Genomic DNA, 17,809 nt, shown 5'->3' with positions numbered 1-17,809 from the left:
TGGGTAGATGCCCAGTAGTGGGATTGCTGGATCAAATGCTAGATCTACTTTTAGTTCTTTAAGGAATCTCCATACTGTTCTCCATAGTGGTTGTACTAGTTTACATTCCCATCTGTGGTGTAAAAGTGTTCCCTTTTCACCACATCCATGCCAACATCTATTATTTTTTTATTATGACCATTCTTGCAGGAGTAAGGTGGTATCACGTTGTGGTTTTGATTTGCATTTCGCTTGATTGACAATAAACATTTATAGTTTATAGTCATATATATATATACTGTTTATAAGTGTAAACATTACTTTTATATAGACTAGGACAAAGTGTATACTTTTATATACACTAGGACACCAAAAAAATTGTGTGACTTGCCTTACTGTAATATTTACTTTATTGGGGTAGTCTGGAACAAAATGCAGAATATCTCCAAGGTATGTCTGTATGGACTATGTTTTTTCTTCTACATACATACCTATGATAAAGCTTAATTTATAAATTATACATCATAAGAGAGTAACAACTAATAATAAAATAGAACTCCATTATAATACTGTAATAAAGGCTATATGAATGTGTACTCTCTTTTTCTCTCAAAATATTGTACTGCATGCACCTATTTTTGGATCTTGGCCCACCACAGGAAACTGAAGCAGAGGAGCAAAACTACAGATCTGAGGAGGGACAACTGTATAGTGTTAAAAAGCTTGCAGTTCATTATAGGTTTAGGATGATAGACTTAGCAGTGAAACTAGGACATGTGCCAGCCACTGAATTAAGCTTTTAAAATAATTAACTCCTATCTGAAACACACCTTCAATAAAATGAATTTACAGTTTCCTACTAAGCACAGACCTGAACACTGAAAATAAAACCTGGATTTTGGTAAAAATTCCCACCTCCATTCCATCATGCATATCATTCATTCATTTATTCAATCTTTTATTTAACCTGAATGATCTCAGGCCTCACCAGCTTTGAATAAATATGAGGTTATATGAACTTTATCACTCAGCTTCCCATGACTCTTATTTCTAATTTGCATGATTGCAGAACCTCAGCTTGCTTAACGCTTCTGGAGTATCCACAAGTATTTCTGGGAATCCCCAAGAGAAGGTTTATGAGTTTGCATAAATTCCTTTATGTTTCTCTGCTCCAATATTTTGCTAAAGTGCTAGGAACACTTTGCTAAAGTGTATTTGATGCCCAAAATACGCTTCGGGGAGAAACTCTGCACCTGCTATGATTACCAGACTTTCTGTAAGAAGGAAACTGCTGGGTGCCTTTATCTCCCCTGTACTTGATGAGAACAGAGATTCTCCATGGGTCACCACTCTCAACCCTCTGAGACTATGGTAGCATAGGATGGTTACTTTGTACTTACCTCTGTAAAATTCTGCCATGAGGACCTCTGAATTAGTACTTCTTTTCCCAAGTCTTACAAGATTCTTATCATGATCTCTTTAGCTTCCCCCTGTTGTTGCTCTTTCTATGTTACTTCTACTTTTTAGACTGGGTCAGGACAGGCAAATCTTATCTTCCATTTCTCTGTCTTTCCAGATATCAGTGCAAAAAAAAAAAAAAAGAAAGAAAAAAATGGTAAACGAAAGTGTTCTTTCTTTCTTTTTTCTATCCGAAGTAAAATTAAAAATGTTTATTAATAAATTGATTCCCCAGGCTGTCACTGATCTACTATTCTGTAAAGAACCAATCTGAGTCTCAGTTTTGCTCAGAACAAAAAACGTTATTGAATAGCTACCATGAGCTAGGCTTATATTCAATGCTGGGTCAGAAATTTAAAAAAAAAGTCTCAGCCCCTGCCTTCAATAAACTCTTGGTTTGAGAAAAGGCATTCGATGATAAAAATAACTAGTAATTAAAAGTATAGATATTATAATAAAAAGAATGAGGAATTGTAAACATACATGGGGATGACTAATTTGGCTGGGTACAGCATTTTGAGAAAATATTTTGGAGGAAGAGGCAGGTAAAATTTGGTTGGTATTTTGGAGGTGTATGAAAAGGCTGACTTGAATCTCAGGAGGCAGAGAAAGAGATTAAGGGCATCCAGCAATACAATGAGTATTGCTTTACAATGAGTAAAGTCAAGGCATTCTCAAGTGCTCACAGACCTCTGAAAATAGAAGTCCTATGTGGCTGGGATGTTACATACATGAAAGAGGATTTTAAAAGTAGTTTGGGGGTAGGATTGTTAAGGGATTTTGATTGTCAAACTGAGCTATGTGGACTTTATCCTGTTAGATGATGAGCAGCCATTAGAGGCTTTAAACAAGAATCTGACACATAATTGTGTCAAAGCAAATGAGGAGGCCAGGCCATTGGCCCAAGATTATCTCTGTACTGGGAGCTCTTAAGTAAGCAAGCTGAAACTTAACTTGAAGGCATTACTTGTAATTGACTTAAAAACAAAAGCAAACCAAACAAAAACAACTGAACTTCTGACAGTCATAAACAGCCAACTAGCTGACTGATTCTGTAACTAGGGACCTTCCATAGAATCATACCAAAATAAAGGAAATGCCTAGCTGCAGCCAATCAGGCAATTTCTTTGTTTGGTGATCAGCCTATAAAGCTTGCTGCTCATGTTACTACTGGAGCAGAGCCCATAACATCCTTTCATGTTGGTGCTTTCTGATTCACAGATTGTTCAAGTAAACTTTGTTAAATTTCTTTTGTCAGAAGTTCTTCTTTTAACAATTGTGTGTTAAGACATAACTCTGGGAGCGTTTTGCAAAATGCTTTTGAACAGGGAGAAAATGTTGGCATGAGGATGAGTTTGGATGCCTTTGAAATAATCCAGGCAATAGGTAAGAAGGGCCTGAATTAGGGATGTAAATGGGATAGAGGGGAAAATTTGGAGATGTTTTAGAGTTTGAGTGTGGAAAGGATTGAGAGAGGAATCACTGTGGTTTTTAACATTTCCAACATAGGATATTAGTGAAAGAGACTGTGATAGGTCAATACAGAGGGATAGGTTTTACTCAGTTTTTAAAACTTCAAATAAACAATGTACCTGTTTTGTAGGAAGAATAATGTCCCCTCAAATATGCCCATGTCCTACTCCCTAGAACCTGTGAATCTATGTTTCTTTACATGGTAGAAAAGTTTTTGCAATTGTCATTAAATTAAGGAATTTGAGATGGAGAGATTACTCTGAATTACCCAGCTGGGTTCATTGTAATCACAAAGGTCCTTGTAAGAGAGAGGCAAGAGAGTCAAAGGCAGAGAGAGGTGATGTGATGACAGAAGCAGGGTTAGAGTGACGTGCCTTGAAGATGGAGGCAAGGAATGCAGGCAGCCCCTAGAAACTAGAAAAGGTTAAGGAAATAGGTTTTTTTCCCCAGAGCCAGGAATACAGCTCGGCAGCTATGTTGATTTTAGCCCATAAGACCCATTTTGAACTTCTGAATTTCCAGAGTTGTAAGGTAATAAATTTGGGTTATTTTAAGGCACTGAGTTTCTGGTAACACAACCTGTTATCCCCAGATGATCTCTGTGCATGTTAACTGGGAGAATATCAGTATTTTTTCCTGAGTGGAACAAAGATAAAACTCTCCATATGGTAACTATTTTTATTTATATTTCAGATAACTTTAAGAGATGGGAGTGTTCCAGGTGGAGTAAATAGCTTCTGCAGAAGCCCACAATCTAAATGCCCAACAGGGAACATCTGCTTGGAACTCCCTTTGCTTGCTCTTCGCCAGTGCCTTTGACTTTCATCACACCTGTTCACCAGCTCTATCAGCTTGGTAGAAGTGAAAGCCCTACTCCTGGCAATGGGTCATTTGAGCTTAGAGGGTAAATGTTTCTGGATCATTTGACCCTCTGGACTGTGCCTCTGGTTCCTGTGCCTTTCTCTGTAACTCTTGCCGTGATGATTCATCCTGGACTCTCTTCTCTTGCAATGCTCTATCAATACTGATTCTGTCACTTACGAAGCTGTGTTAACTTTGTCAGTACATACATCTCTTTATCAGAGGGTCTGTTACTCATCTGTAAAATGGGAACAACAAAGCCAACCTCCCTGGGTCAGGATTTTTGGCCATTTGGCTTCTTCATGCACAGCAGTGACAAGTTTAAGGCACCCCAACCTGGGGTTACCCATATTAAGGGCCAATTTCACCTACCCTTCCTGCCAGGGGGACTCAGTCTATTTGGCTTTTTTTAATTCCTCTTTTCCTTGCCCACAGGGCTTCATGTTTGTCTTGAGGATGAGACTCCTGTTTCTTCTGGATGTATGGGTGGGAGGGGAGTGAGGGAGTGAAGTGAGAGTTTCTGCTAGAAGACTCCTGATATAGTTGATGTCTGGAAGACTTCGTAGGGGCACGTCATGTCATAAATGACAGCTAACATGGGTTGAAACAGACGTCATTAGAATTCAAAGCCTACATATTAATATTTTCTGGTGTTTCAATTCACTTGTGGGTGGGTTCAACTTTTTTTTGATATACTCTTTTTACTTTCCTTTTTACTACTTCTTCCTATTCCAGCCCCAACCACTGACTTGAAGATGTAAGTAGATGACTAATGTGGTTTACACAGAGTAGAAGAATCTTTTCTCCCCATTTCAAATTAATGACATGCCAACAACATATATCCTAAAGAATCTGAGTATTTTGATATTGACATAGAGGAAAATCAGCCCAACTAACATCTGTTGAGTGCTTGGAATGTGCCAGGCACTGTACTATGTATTTTGTATCTATTCTAATTTAAAACTCATATCAAATTTAAGATGTTGGTGTTAATGTCTCAGTTGTACAGATGATTAATGTATCTTCTGTTGCTTAATGAGACTTGTGTGTTGCCAACGTCCACACAGCTAGCAATGGACAGTATTGATATTAGAATTTAAGGTCTATTTAATTCCAGAGTCAATGCTTATTTCTCTGCCCCCTAATCTCTACTATAGGAACTAATACATTCTGGGAATTCTTTTATAAGATGTCATTTGGAGGATAGTGCAGAAATTATAGAATTTCAACTGAGAAGATCTGAATGTATGCAGAATTTTGTTATGAACTAGATGTGTGACTTTGGACAAGTTATTTTCTCATCTTTTTGAGTCTCATTATTACTGGTGGCATCACACATGTACTGGTAAGGTGTTTCAAGTTTGGGTTCGAGCTCTGTAATGAGTTAGCTGTGTGGCTTGGGGAAAACCGCTTTACCTGTGTAGGCCTTAGTTTTGTTTCTTTGTTTATTTTATCTATAAAATGAGAGGACTATGGAAGACTTGTTCCTTTTAGGTTTGAAATTTTGTTATACTAAGGGCTTCAATTTCAATAATAATAGTTACGCCCAGGCAGCTAGTGGGAGCAATTCTAACAGTTCATTAATACAGAAACGATCTTCTCTGAACAATGAAATACTATACTGGCCAGCCTGGGCTCCAGCCAGATATATTTACAGAACATCCTTTAGCCTGAAATAGAAATTTATTGCTCAACCATCTGTTACAATTAAGAAAAGATGTGAAAATGTTTTCTATGTGTTTGACTAATCATGTTTTAGGGCCCTGTGGGTACTTTACAAATTATATGCCTTCCTTTTTTCTTGGCATCATTAAAAATCTGGGATCTATTTCCAAAATTTATCAGTTCTCACTCTATTATTTTCTCTTTTTCTAAAGAAACTTGTTCAGAGCCCCAGATGGAATAGAGCAAGCAAATATGTCTCAAGACAAAGTTAGCCTGTAAAGCAAATGAATTGTCTTTGGTGAGCGAGTGGTTTGGAAACAACTGAACGAATATTGCAACATAAATATCTAATTTGTATTCGTTGGACTATGACCTACCTGGTATTAGTGATGAGAAGACATTAAGACCCAATTACTGATCAGGGTCTCTTGTTTCCTTCTTAAAAAAATAGGGATATAATTAAAATAGCCCACCTGTGTGGCCAGTACTCAGTAAGAGAATATTGCAAGGGAAAGCTCTGGAACCCTCCCACCTCATTCTACCTTTGCACATCTTCTCAGCTCTCTCTTGTACTTTGCCTCTGTGTTTCATCTCACACTTGACTCATGAAGGTAAAAAGTAGGCTTTTGGAAAATGATATTTTCCCAAAAACTTTTGTTTCCTTTTAACTCTAAGAATCTTTCAGTTGTGTTCAACTAGTTCATGTGAAGAAAAATAATTGTGAAGTAGTCTAGTTTCTGTAGTATTCTTTTTCAAAGTGCTCAGCAGAATCCAGCTATTTCTTTCAAAGTAGTTTTATTTGTTTTGAAAGTACCTTTTTCTAAAAAAAAATTTTTTTATTTTAATAGATTTAGCAGTACAAATGGTTTTGGTTATATGGATGAATTCTATAGTGGCGAAGTCTTAGCTTTTAGTGTAACTGTCACCCAAATAGTGTACATTATATAGAATATATAATTTTTCATCCCTATCCCCTGCCATCCTACCTACTTCTGAGTCTCCAATGCCCATTATACCATTTTGTATGCCCCTGCATACCCATAGCTTAGCTTCTACTTATAACTGAGAACATGCAGTATTTGGTTTTCTATTCCTGAATTACTTCACTTAGGATAATGGCCTCTAGTTCCATTCAAGTTGCTGCAAAATACATTATTTTGTTCTTTTTTATGGCTGAATAGTGTTCCATGGTATACTACTTCCATGGTATTCTATGTGTATATATACACACACCATTTTTTTTATCCATTCATTATCTGATGGGCATTTAGATTGATTTTACATCTTTGTAATTGTGAATTGTGCTGTGATAGATACACAAGTGCGGGTGTCTTTTTGATGTAAGTGCAGGTGTCTTTTTCTTTGGGTAGATATCCAGTAGTGGGATTGCTAGAGTGAACGGTAGATCTACTTTTAGAACTTTGAGAAATCTCCATACTGTTTGCCATAGAGGTCTTACTTATTCACATTCCTACTAACAGTGTCTAGGCATTCCCTTCTTACCATAGCCAAGCCATTTATTGTTTTTGACTTGCATTTTTAATTTTAATTTGCATTTCCCCGATGATTAGTGATGTTGGGCATTTTTAAATATATATATTTTTTTGCCATTTGTATATCTTCTTTTGAAAAGTTTCACTTGTCCACTTTCTAATAGGTTTTTTTTTTCCTTGCTAGTTCGTTTGAATTCCTTTTTGGATTCTGGATATTGTCCTTTGTCAAATGTACAGTTTGTGAATATTTTCTCCCATTCTGTATGCTGTCTGTTTACTCTGTTGATTATTTCTTTGCTGTGTAGAAGTTTTTAGTTTAATTAAGCCCCATTTATTGACTTTTGGTTTTCCTGCATTTGCTTTGGGGTCTTAGTTATAAATTCTTTGCTTACACCAATGTCCAGAAGAGTTTTTCCTAGGTTTTCTTTGATAATTTTTATGGAGTTTGGTCTTACATTTGAGTCTTTATTCTAGGGATCCAGTTTCATTCTTCTGCCTGTGGCTATCCAATTTTCCCAGCATCATTTACTGAATCGGGTATCCTTTTCCCAGTTAATGTTTTTGTCTGCCTTTATTGAAGATCAGTTTTTTGTAGGTATGTGGTTTTATTTCTGGGTTCTCTATTCTGTTTCATTGGTCTATGTGTCTGCTTGTATATCAGCACCAATGCTTCTTTGGTTACTATAGCTCTATAGCATAATTTGAAGTCTTCTAAAGTAACACCTTCATATTTGTTCTTTTTGGTTATAATTGCTTTGGCTATTCATACTCTTTTTGGTTCCATATACATTTTAGGATTATTTTTTCTTAAATCTGTGAAAATGACATTGGTATTTTTTGATAGAAACTCCACTGAATCTGTAGATTGCTTTGGGCAGTATGGTCATTTTAAAGACATTGATTCTTCCAATTCATGAGCAGGGGATGTTTTTCCATTTGTCTGTGTCATCTATGATTTATTTCATTAGTGTTTTCTAGACCTCCTTGCAGAGATCTTTCCCCTCCTTAATTAAGTACTGATACGGTTTGAATATATGTCCCCACCAAATCTCATGTTGAATTGATATTCCCAGTGCTGGATGTGGGGCATGGTGGGAGGTGTTTCGGTCATGGCGTGGATCCCTCTTGGCTTGGTGCTGATCTGGAGATAATGAATGAGTTTTTGAGAGATCTGGTTGTTTAAGTGTGTGGCATATCCCCTCCCACTCTCTCTCTTGGTACTGCTCCCACCATGTGATACATTTGCTTCCTTTTCACCTTCTGCCATGATTGGAAGTTTCCTGAGGCTCTCATCAGAAGGTGAGTAGATGTTGGTGTCATGCTTGTACAGCCTGCAGAACTGTGAGCTAATCAAACCTCCTTTCTTTATAAATTACCCAGTCTCAAGTATTTCTTTATAGCGACACAAGATGGACTACTGCAAATATATTCCTATGTATTTTTTTCTTTTGCTAAATGAGATTGGCTTCTTGATTTGATTTGCAGCTTGGTTGTTATTAGTGAATTGGTGCTACTGATTTGAGTATGTTGATTTTGTAACTTGAGACTTTACTGAATTCAAATCCTTGTCAAAGCGGAGTCTTTCGGAGGAGTCTTTAAGGTTTTCTAGGTATAAGGTCATATCAGTGGCAACCAGAGATAGTTTGACTCCCTCTTTTCTAATTTGGATGCCCTTTATTTTTTTCTCTTATTTGATTGCTCTGGCTAGGACTTCTAGTACAACGTAGAATAGAAGTGGTGAATGCGGGTATCCTTGTCTTATTCCAGTTCTGAAGGGGCATGCTTTTAACTTTTACCCGTTTAGTATGATGTTGGCTGTGGGTTTGTCATATATGGCTTTTATTATTGTGAGGTATGTTCTTTCTATGCCCAGTTTGTTGAGGGCTTTTTTCATGAAGGGATGCAGAATTTTACAAAATCCTTTTTTTTTTTTGCATTTATTGAAATGATCAGATAATTTTTGTTTTTTATTCTGTTTATGTGGTGAATCATTTACTGACTTGTGTATGTTGAACTATTCTTGCATCCCTAGGATAAAACCCACTTGATCATGGTGAATTATCTCTATGATATTCTGTTGTATTTGGTTTGCTAGTATTATGTTGAAGATTTTTGCCTGTATATTCATAAGGGATATTGGTCTATTGTTTTCTTTTTTGTTGTTGTGTTCTGTCCTGGCTTTCATATCAGCGTAATACTCACATCATAGAATGAGACAGGGAGGATTCCCTCCTTCTCAGTCATTTGGAATAGTTTCAGTATTATTGGTATCAGTTCCTCTTTCAATATCTGGTAAAATTTTGATGTAAATCCATCTGGCCCTGGGATTTTTTTGTTTATGTTGGGAGATTTTTTATTACTGATTCTATCTCATGCCTCTTATTGGTCTGTTCAGGATTTCTATTTCATCCTGATTGAAGGTAGGGGGGTTGCATGTTTCCAGGGATTGATCCATTTCCTCTAGATTTTCTAGTTTACGTGCATTTAGGTGTTCATAGTGGTTTCAGATAGAAAGTACTTTTTTGAAAGTACTATTGTGAAAGTTTTTGGCTGACAATTTTTTTTTGTTTGGAAAGTGGTCTTTTAGCTCAGACATCACATTAAGAATTCTCTTTTGGTCAACCACCAGATTTCTGCATCGAGGGAAAAAGTGTACATTCTTTTTCCAGGTTTTTACTGTCTTTTCAATATTTTTAAGTGGCCTTGTGTTTGTTTAAGAAAGCTAATCACTTTTGTAGCATCAACTAGAATGTAATTCATTTTGTCTTCACCTTCCTGCAAAGAAAGCAGTGTATTGAGAAAAATGTGAGGATTTTTTTTTTTTTTTTTTTAACAATTAGAGAGCTAGACCTTCTGATAGAGCCAACCATTGATGGGATACCATTAGGACAGATGCCAATGCAATTTCTTCAAGATACACCTTTATTTTTTTCAAAGTATGAAGACAAAACATTAAATATGTCTTGACTTATGTTGCTTTCAGCAACTTATTGCAGTAGCAAAATTATTCTTGAATTTCTCCGTCCTTTACAAATCTTAGAAATATGATAGCATGACATTTATTGGTAAAATATGTTCACTAATCAATCTACATAGACAAGCTCTTCCTTTTCAGTTCATTACATAAAGCCTTTTCAATATTATGTGATATGTCATCACTACATTAACTTACTCAATTTTTTAAGACTGAAATATTTTCAATTTGTCCTATTGCATCTTGTTTTAGTCACTAAAAGCTGGTATTTTAGTTTCTCACCAACTTTGTAACTTTTTTCTTCTAAGCAATATGTTTTCTTATTCAGAAACTTGATTTTTGAGATTTTTGACTGTATGTGACTTTTCTTGACAAAGTCTTCACTCTGTTTTGAAATTCCAATAGCTGTTTAAAATAGTCACTACTCTTCCTTGTCAAATGGATGTAATTTGCAGTTAAGTGTCTTTTCAAGATTTCTCATGGCATTGCAACATTCTAACTTGTCTGCCACAGACAACATGGAATGGGTGTGGCAACTTGGATTACCCGACCATGTGAAACCCAAGGATAAGTAGCTTTCCTTGTAAACACGTAATTTTTTGCTCTCTTGATATGCTAGTGCAGATAAATAATCCAGAAGATTCTAATTCCTCATCATTAACATTATGAGAATTGTTCATAATTGTTCATAAACATAAGTCTAAAATCTTTCTTTTTCTCAGCACATTTTGTCTTCAAAAATTGCTACATCAGACCATCAGAGTTACTTGCAAAATATAAAGATGAATAAAGTATAAAACAAAAGGTTATAATAAATAACTAATTGAGAATATTGCAAAAGGAGAACTTGATAATCATAAGGCAATTTACTTCTAACTCATATAATCCATGCAAGGCAACAATCCATGTTTTGCAACATTTATAACAACAGCAAAGCAACAATAGGACAGCTGAGTTACAGTACGTAGAGATGCCCTTTTTTATAATGAAAAATTCTGTCTTACTGCCTATTATATCAGAGGAGTTCTTCTCCCCAGTAAGTAAGTAGGAGGCATGCAAAGCCAAGAATGCTGGAAGGAATTAAAAGACTCAAGGAAATGGACATGCTGAAACAGATATATTATATGAAGCCAGAAAATTCATTAGGAATTAATGGGAACTTTCAGGAAAAACACCATTCAACAATGCCTTCAAGAATGCACTAGAGAGATGGGCATGATCATCCCTAAGGAGTATAGTGGTAGCTCTCCTCTGCATGTGGAAGTGCTAATTGTAGGAGAGGTGATCAAAACCTTTGCTTATTAATAATAATGAAGATGACATATGTGACACAGCAAGGATATTTCTATTAATATAATGATTCACAAGTTCAGAGGGGCAGTAAGGAGGCTTGGAGATGGTTAATAGAATATAATAGCCCTAATGGTAATATACATTAGGAGACAACAATAGTGTTGCTTAATATATACAATCAAAAGGAGGTAAGTGTGCGTATGCAAGAGACTGTGGATGGGCACCTTAATTTTAAGTCTTGTTCTTTTGCCAGTATTCTCCACTTGAGTCAGTTTCAGACCCAGAACCTTTTGACTAAAGACATAGTCAAATCCCTTGGAGGAAGGACCATGTAACACCATGGAAGGTATAGTTTGTAATGGTTTCCTCAGTCTTTCCTTAACTATGCCTGTAGCCATTTATTCACTTGACTGAGTTTCAGGGACAGAGTAATGTCCAGACACTTTGAAGGTTATTGGATGCAGGGCCTGAGTTGACATTGATACTTGGAGTCTCAAAATATTACCATGGCCCCTGTTAGAGTAGAAGCCTATAGGGATAAGGTTATAAATGGAGTCTTGGTCAAAGTTGGGCTTATAGAAGGACTACTGGTTCTGTCAGTCCACCCAGTGATCACTTCCCAGGTTCTTCGATTCATAATTAGAATTGACACACTTGGCAGTTAAAATAACCCTCACCATAGATTCTTGGCCTGTAAAAACAGAGTGCTCCTGTTCCTCACCAAAAATATAGTGAATGAAGAACAATATGGGATTCCAGGGGTGGAATTAGCTCTACTCTTAAAGACCTTAAGGATGTAGGAGTGGTGGGCCCTATTATATTACTGTATTAGTCAGAGTTCTCTAGAGGGACAGAACTAATAAGATATATATATATGAGTTTATTAGTGAGTATTAACTCACATGATCACAAAGTCCCATAATAGTCCATCTGCAAACTGAGGAGCAAGGAAGCCAGTCCCAGTCCCAAAGCTGAAGTACTTGGAGTCCGATGTTCATGGGCAGGAAACATTCAGCATGGGAGAAAGATATAGTCTGAGAGGCTAAGCCAGTCTAGCCTTTTCAGGTTTTTTTCTGCCTGCTTTATAGCCTGGCCCCACAGCTGGCAACTGATTATGGTAGGTGGGGCCCACCCAGATTAAGGGTGGGTCTGCCTTTCCCAGCCCACTGACTCAGACGTTAATCTCCTTTGGCAACACCCTCACAGACATACCCAGGATCAGTCCTTTGCATCCTTCAGTCCAATCAAGTTGACACTCAGTATTAACCATCACAATTACCATTAAATTAAAAGGTCTTGTCCCTGTAGATAATGTATATATTCTAGAGAATGACTTCACACTACTGCAAGCTTATTCAAGTCTTAGTCCTGATGTGGCTACTGTGACATATGCAATATTTTTGCTGGAGTAGATTATCATGGCCTCAGGAACATGGTATGCAGCCACTCATTTGGCAAATAAATTATTTTCTATCATAAGAAGTTTGTATTCATGTGCAATGAACAAGAAAATGTATTCACAGATTTGCTACACAACTATATTTACTCTTCTGCTGTCTGTCATAATATACTTAGAAGAGATTTGGACTGTGAACATACTGCAAAATATCACATTAATTCATTCTATTGATGACATTATGTTGACCATGATACAATATAGCCACATTCAAGCTTAGCAAGAAGTGGCTAGTATACTGGAGGCCTTGGTAAGACTTATGTACTTTAGATAGAGGGAGATAATATTACCCTACAATGATTCAGAGACCTGTAGCTTTGGAAATGTTTAAGGGTCCAGTGGCCTGGCTTTTTATAGAACATCCTCTCCAGAGTTAAAAGACACTTTTACCTCTTTCATTCCTTACTGCTAAAAAGAAGCACAGTTCCTAGTATGCCTCTTTGAATTCTGGTGGAAACACAATTCACACTGAGGAGTAATGCTTCAGTTCATGTCTTAGCTCGTTTGGGCTGCTCTAACAAAATGTTATAACTTGGTTGGCTTTAAACTACAGAAATTTATTTTTTCACAGCTCTGGAGTCAAGGTAGTCCAGGATCAAGGAACTTGCAGGTTTGGTGTCTGGTGAGGGTTCATGTCCTACTTCACAGATGGCACCTTCTCACTGTGTCGTCACATAGTAGAGGTTGGCTAGCTAGCTCTCTGGGGTCTGTTTTATAAAGGCACTGATACCATTTATAAGGCCTCCAACCTCGTGACTCAGTTACCTCCCCAAAGTCCTCACTTCATAACACTGTCACCTTAAGGTTAGGATTTCAACAAATGAATTTTTTGGGAAAGCATTCAGACCATAGCAATCCATATGAGAATTATCGTGAAAGGCTTCTCATGCTGAATGGAGCTGGAGCAGCAAAGAGCTCTGCAGCATGGCTAGGCTGTGGTAGAAGCAACTCTGCCATTTGGGCCATATGATCCAGAAGAACCTATGGTAATGAAGGTATCAGCAGTGTGAGTTGGATTTTTGACAAATTTCAGTGGGCGAATCACAACTCAGGGCCCTAGAGTTCGGAATAAGGACATGCTGTATTTCACAGAGAATTATATACCTTTTAAGAAATAATTTCCAGCAGGGCCCTGTAGACATGGAACCTTTGACCGTGAGGCACCAAGTGACTGTGCATCCAGAACTGTCCATTATTAGTTGGATACTGTAAGACCTACAAGTCCAATAAAGTTAAGGAGGCCCAGCAGCAGGCCAGTGTAGGATGAAAATGGCACATTTGTGGTCAAGACCAAGCAGGAACAGAGGCTACCAGTAAGCTGCATGAGCAGTTAGTCCAGACCCTCATGCCATCAGCACAACTACATCCATGCTCTTCCCTCTGCTTCTACCTATGACCATACAGAACCTCAAGTTTGCCTTATAGATAGGTCAGCTTGATTTGTTGGTATCGTCTTAAAATGGGCAGTAGCTGCAATACAGCCACATTCAGGAGCAGCCTGGAAATACAGTCATGAGGAAAAATATTCCCAGTGGGCAAAGACTCAAGCTATTCTCCTTTGTGGAAGAAGTGCCCTTAGATGAGAATATAAACGGACATGTGAGCAGTAGCCAATGGACTGGCTCACTGTTCAGGATCCTGAAAGGAGAGGGATGGGAAGATCAGAGTCAAGGAAGTCTGGCGAAGAGATGTGTGGATGGACATATGGAAATGAGCACCAAGTTTGCAAATTATTTAAACAGTGGAGCAGGGAAGAATACCTGTAGAAGCCAGATGATCTTCATGGGTGCTTTTTTAGTATTCCCTTCCCTAATTGTGACTGTGGGCAGACAAATACAGTAACTCTGGCCCTAGAAAGATGCAGTTACTCCAGGAAGATGGGTTTGGGTCACACCATCAGTTAAGCCCCTGAGACAAGCAGATTATGGATATTTAGAATAGATAGTGGAGGAAGGAGCCCAACTGCTGAACTTTGTCCCATAATCTTCTTCTTCTAAGCTTCAGGAGGAGAAGACAGCTAGAACCTGAAGGATCTAGTTGGCCTTTCCATAAACAAATGTTTATGGGAAAGTGGATTCATCGCGTAGCAAAAGGTGTGGGATGTGGCAGCCACGGTGGTAGACTGCCCAAATATCTCAAGAAAAAACTTGATCTGCTGTGAGGACACCACACTGCAATGTTTGAATCAAGGCCATTTTCTTCCCAGGTAGCCTCCTGTGAATGACGGTATGGCAGGGTAATAGGGTCTCATTTACATCCAATGAGAGAGTTCTTTATGAGCTATTTCTGTGACAGTGCTCCTGGTTTGACTGCCTGAAACTTTCACCAAAATGCACTATTATCTTAAAGTCTTTCTATTCGATTCCCCCTCTTCCCCTCTCTGATTATAGATGTCAAATCAGCATTCCAGTATAAAAGGTTTTCTTGCCTGTATCTGTTGTTTTTTCCCTTTATCTTTCATAGGCATTTCCCTCAATAAATCTCCTTCACTACTAACTCTGTCTTGGCACCTGAACCAACACCGGACCTAACCAACACAGTTTTGAGGAAGGCTGAAGAAGGTATTTTGGGAGGGAGAGGCTGATGTTGTCAAGCCTGTTCTTCTCTCCCTGATGCAATCACACGCTCATCAACTATCATCGGCTTCCCCTATCCTAAGTCAAAAACGAGAATGTACTCAACCAAGTAAACATAGTGCTAGACAGTGCTACCTAGAGCTAAAAGACAAACCAGGCTGCTTGGTGACTGTCCACCTCCACAAATGCTAGTGTTCCACAGAGCACAAAGTTCCCCCAAACCAACTTCAATTCCTTTTCAGTCACAATCTCTCAAGGAACCCTAAGTGGCATCTTGTGGAATCCTAGGTTTTGAGAAAACCCTGTTTGAGAAACTCTGTTGTAAAAGTTTCTTCTTTATCCTCCATCTCATGGACTAACTCATTATTTCTGTGAATCCCTCTTCTCTTGTATAAGTTGCCACTCTTCCTTCCCCTCTTTTCTCTTTCAGGCCTAACCTTAAGTAGTTTCTGAAAAGGGATAAAAAAATAACTATAAGACTTTATATATATAAGTTTTAAACTATAAAACTTTATTAAAAATGGCCATTCAGATTTGAATATTTGTTTCTGTTTCAGAGTGGGCTGGAGAAGAGGAAATGATACCATGTTCTTTTAAGAAAAAAGAGGAAAAAGCCCACAAGATGAACACTATGGTGTATAACCCTGTCATGTCTTTTTAGCAATGAACTTTGGAGCCCTGGAAACAAGTAGCCCTAAGTTACAACACTCAATTTTAAAGTAAGCTTTTCTTCATGACCCTGGCAAACTCATCAACTCACTCTCCACCCCCTACCTTCATGGACTATCCCACTTTTTATACATTCTTTCACTGGCTTGTTTATTTCCTGACAGGTAGGTGCTATTTGATCCTAAAGAAAAAAGAACCATGGCAATTTATTTGGTTGATTCTTCTGTAATCCCTAATTCCTAGTTTAATTTGCTAATTTAATATAACTTATGGCCCTAGTTTGTAGAGTTTTCCACTTGTTTTATACCAATTTGTGATTTTAAACATTTTTTTTTTTTTTTTTTTTTGCTGTAACATAACAAATTTTCTATCAGTGGGTTGAGACAAAGCAAACAGCACATCCTGGCAAGCAAATGGCTGGATATTTGATGACAGCCCTAGATTCCAGGGGCAAAGTCTTATAGTTAGGTTAGCGGATTGTCAGTTCACAATTGTTTTTAACAAGTCTACACATTTTTGAAGTACTTCAACATATATTTATGTCAGAATGAAGACCTTATATATCTAAGTATCAAAGATCTGAGGTGGAGATGATTAAGTTAGTTTTCTGCTATTTTTCTATTAATCTAGTACATCACAGAATTAAGTGTTTTACAAAACATATGTTACATTAAATGTAATGATTCCTTTCAAGTGACAGTTAAAAAATTGGAACTCGTTTTTGGTGAAAATATACCAAAACATTTCATTTCACTGATTTTCTAAACTGTTCACTCTTGAATTTTTAAAAATTATACTTTAAGTTCTAGCATACGTGTGCACAACGTGCAGGTTTGATACACAGGTATACATGTGTCATGTTGGTTTGCTGCACCCATCAACTCGTCATTTACATTAGGTATTTCTCCTAATGCTATCCCTCCCTCATCATCCCACCCCCGCGACAGACCCCAGTGTCTGATGTTCCCCACCCTGTGTCCATCGCACTTGAATTTTTAAACTTTTTTGTGAGACGACTTTGGGGTTGTTGTCAACTGTGGAAAAGACTTATTATCATATATTATCTTTACTGTACTCAAATCTCTACAGCCAAAGAGGGGGAGTCTCACCTCGAATATATATTTTATTTACCAGCAAAACCTCTGCTTTGAATTTCTGGCATCTGTCATGCTCTGGTGTGCTAGGATAAACAACATGAAAGAAGTCTCACATCCTACTTCTCGTTTTCTTCTAAGGTTGAATCCTGAGGTTGGCAAACCTTCTTCTGCTTGAACTGCAGCCTTGTTTGAACTTCCTTTTTTTCTCTGGATGAGATTCCCTATGGAAATCTCAGTACCAAGGAAAGTGAGATTTTCCACTTCTGAGATTTTTCTGGAAATCACAGTCCCTCACATAAACACCATTTTAGACCCAATCTTTTAGTCCTGCAGGCAGGCAGGATTTTGTCTGAATCATAGGTTGAAATAACTAGGCTATACCTAGGGTTCCTGACATAAATGCATACATAAATAAAGAGCCTAGAGGGACTATTTGTTTGCACTTACATTCCTCTCCTTCCATGCTATCTATTTGTTATACGCACATGGGGTTTTCGAAATAGAGGCATAACAGAGTTCCTTAGGTAGCCAGAACAGGATATCTGAGTGGGTTCAAGAATGGTTACAAGGACAGTCATATAAATTTTGAGAACACTGCAGAGGTGTTTATAACATCTTTAGTCTTTCTGTCACTCCAGTGGAGAATCACTCATGCATGGGCATTTACAGCATTCTCTGTTGCAAAGTACTGCATTGAAAATACCATAGTTTCGCATTTAGAAGACCTGGGGTCTTGTCCTGATTTTGCTGCTCATTAGCTTTACGGCCATGCTAATTATTTCCCATTTATCATTCTCAAGTTTCTTACCTATAAA

At 37.6% G+C, this 17,809-nt stretch overlaps 1 long non-coding RNA gene across 3 annotated transcripts in view; it reads left to right on the top strand.

The window, feature by feature from the left end:
- Window positions 1-17,809, top strand: part of LOC105376193 (uncharacterized) — a 45,342-nt gene that overhangs the window by 7,214 nt on the left and 20,319 nt on the right. The window contains exons 4-5 of one of the 3 annotated variants that reach the window (XR_930195.2): window positions 15,116-15,213; window positions 15,786-15,947. This is a non-coding gene — a long non-coding RNA (uncharacterized LOC105376193). Of the gene's footprint in view, window positions 1-11,449; window positions 11,543-15,115; window positions 15,214-15,785; window positions 15,948-17,809 lie in introns of all 3 variants that reach the window. The other 2 variants (XR_930196.2, XR_930194.2) reach the window with 2 other exon arrangements.

This window comes from Homo sapiens, chromosome 9, assembly GCF_000001405.40.
Source record: "Homo sapiens chromosome 9, GRCh38.p14 Primary Assembly".
Lineage (NCBI taxonomy): Eukaryota > Metazoa > Chordata > Mammalia > Primates > Hominidae > Homo > Homo sapiens.
This window is presented reverse-complemented; position numbering and strand designations above follow the sequence as displayed.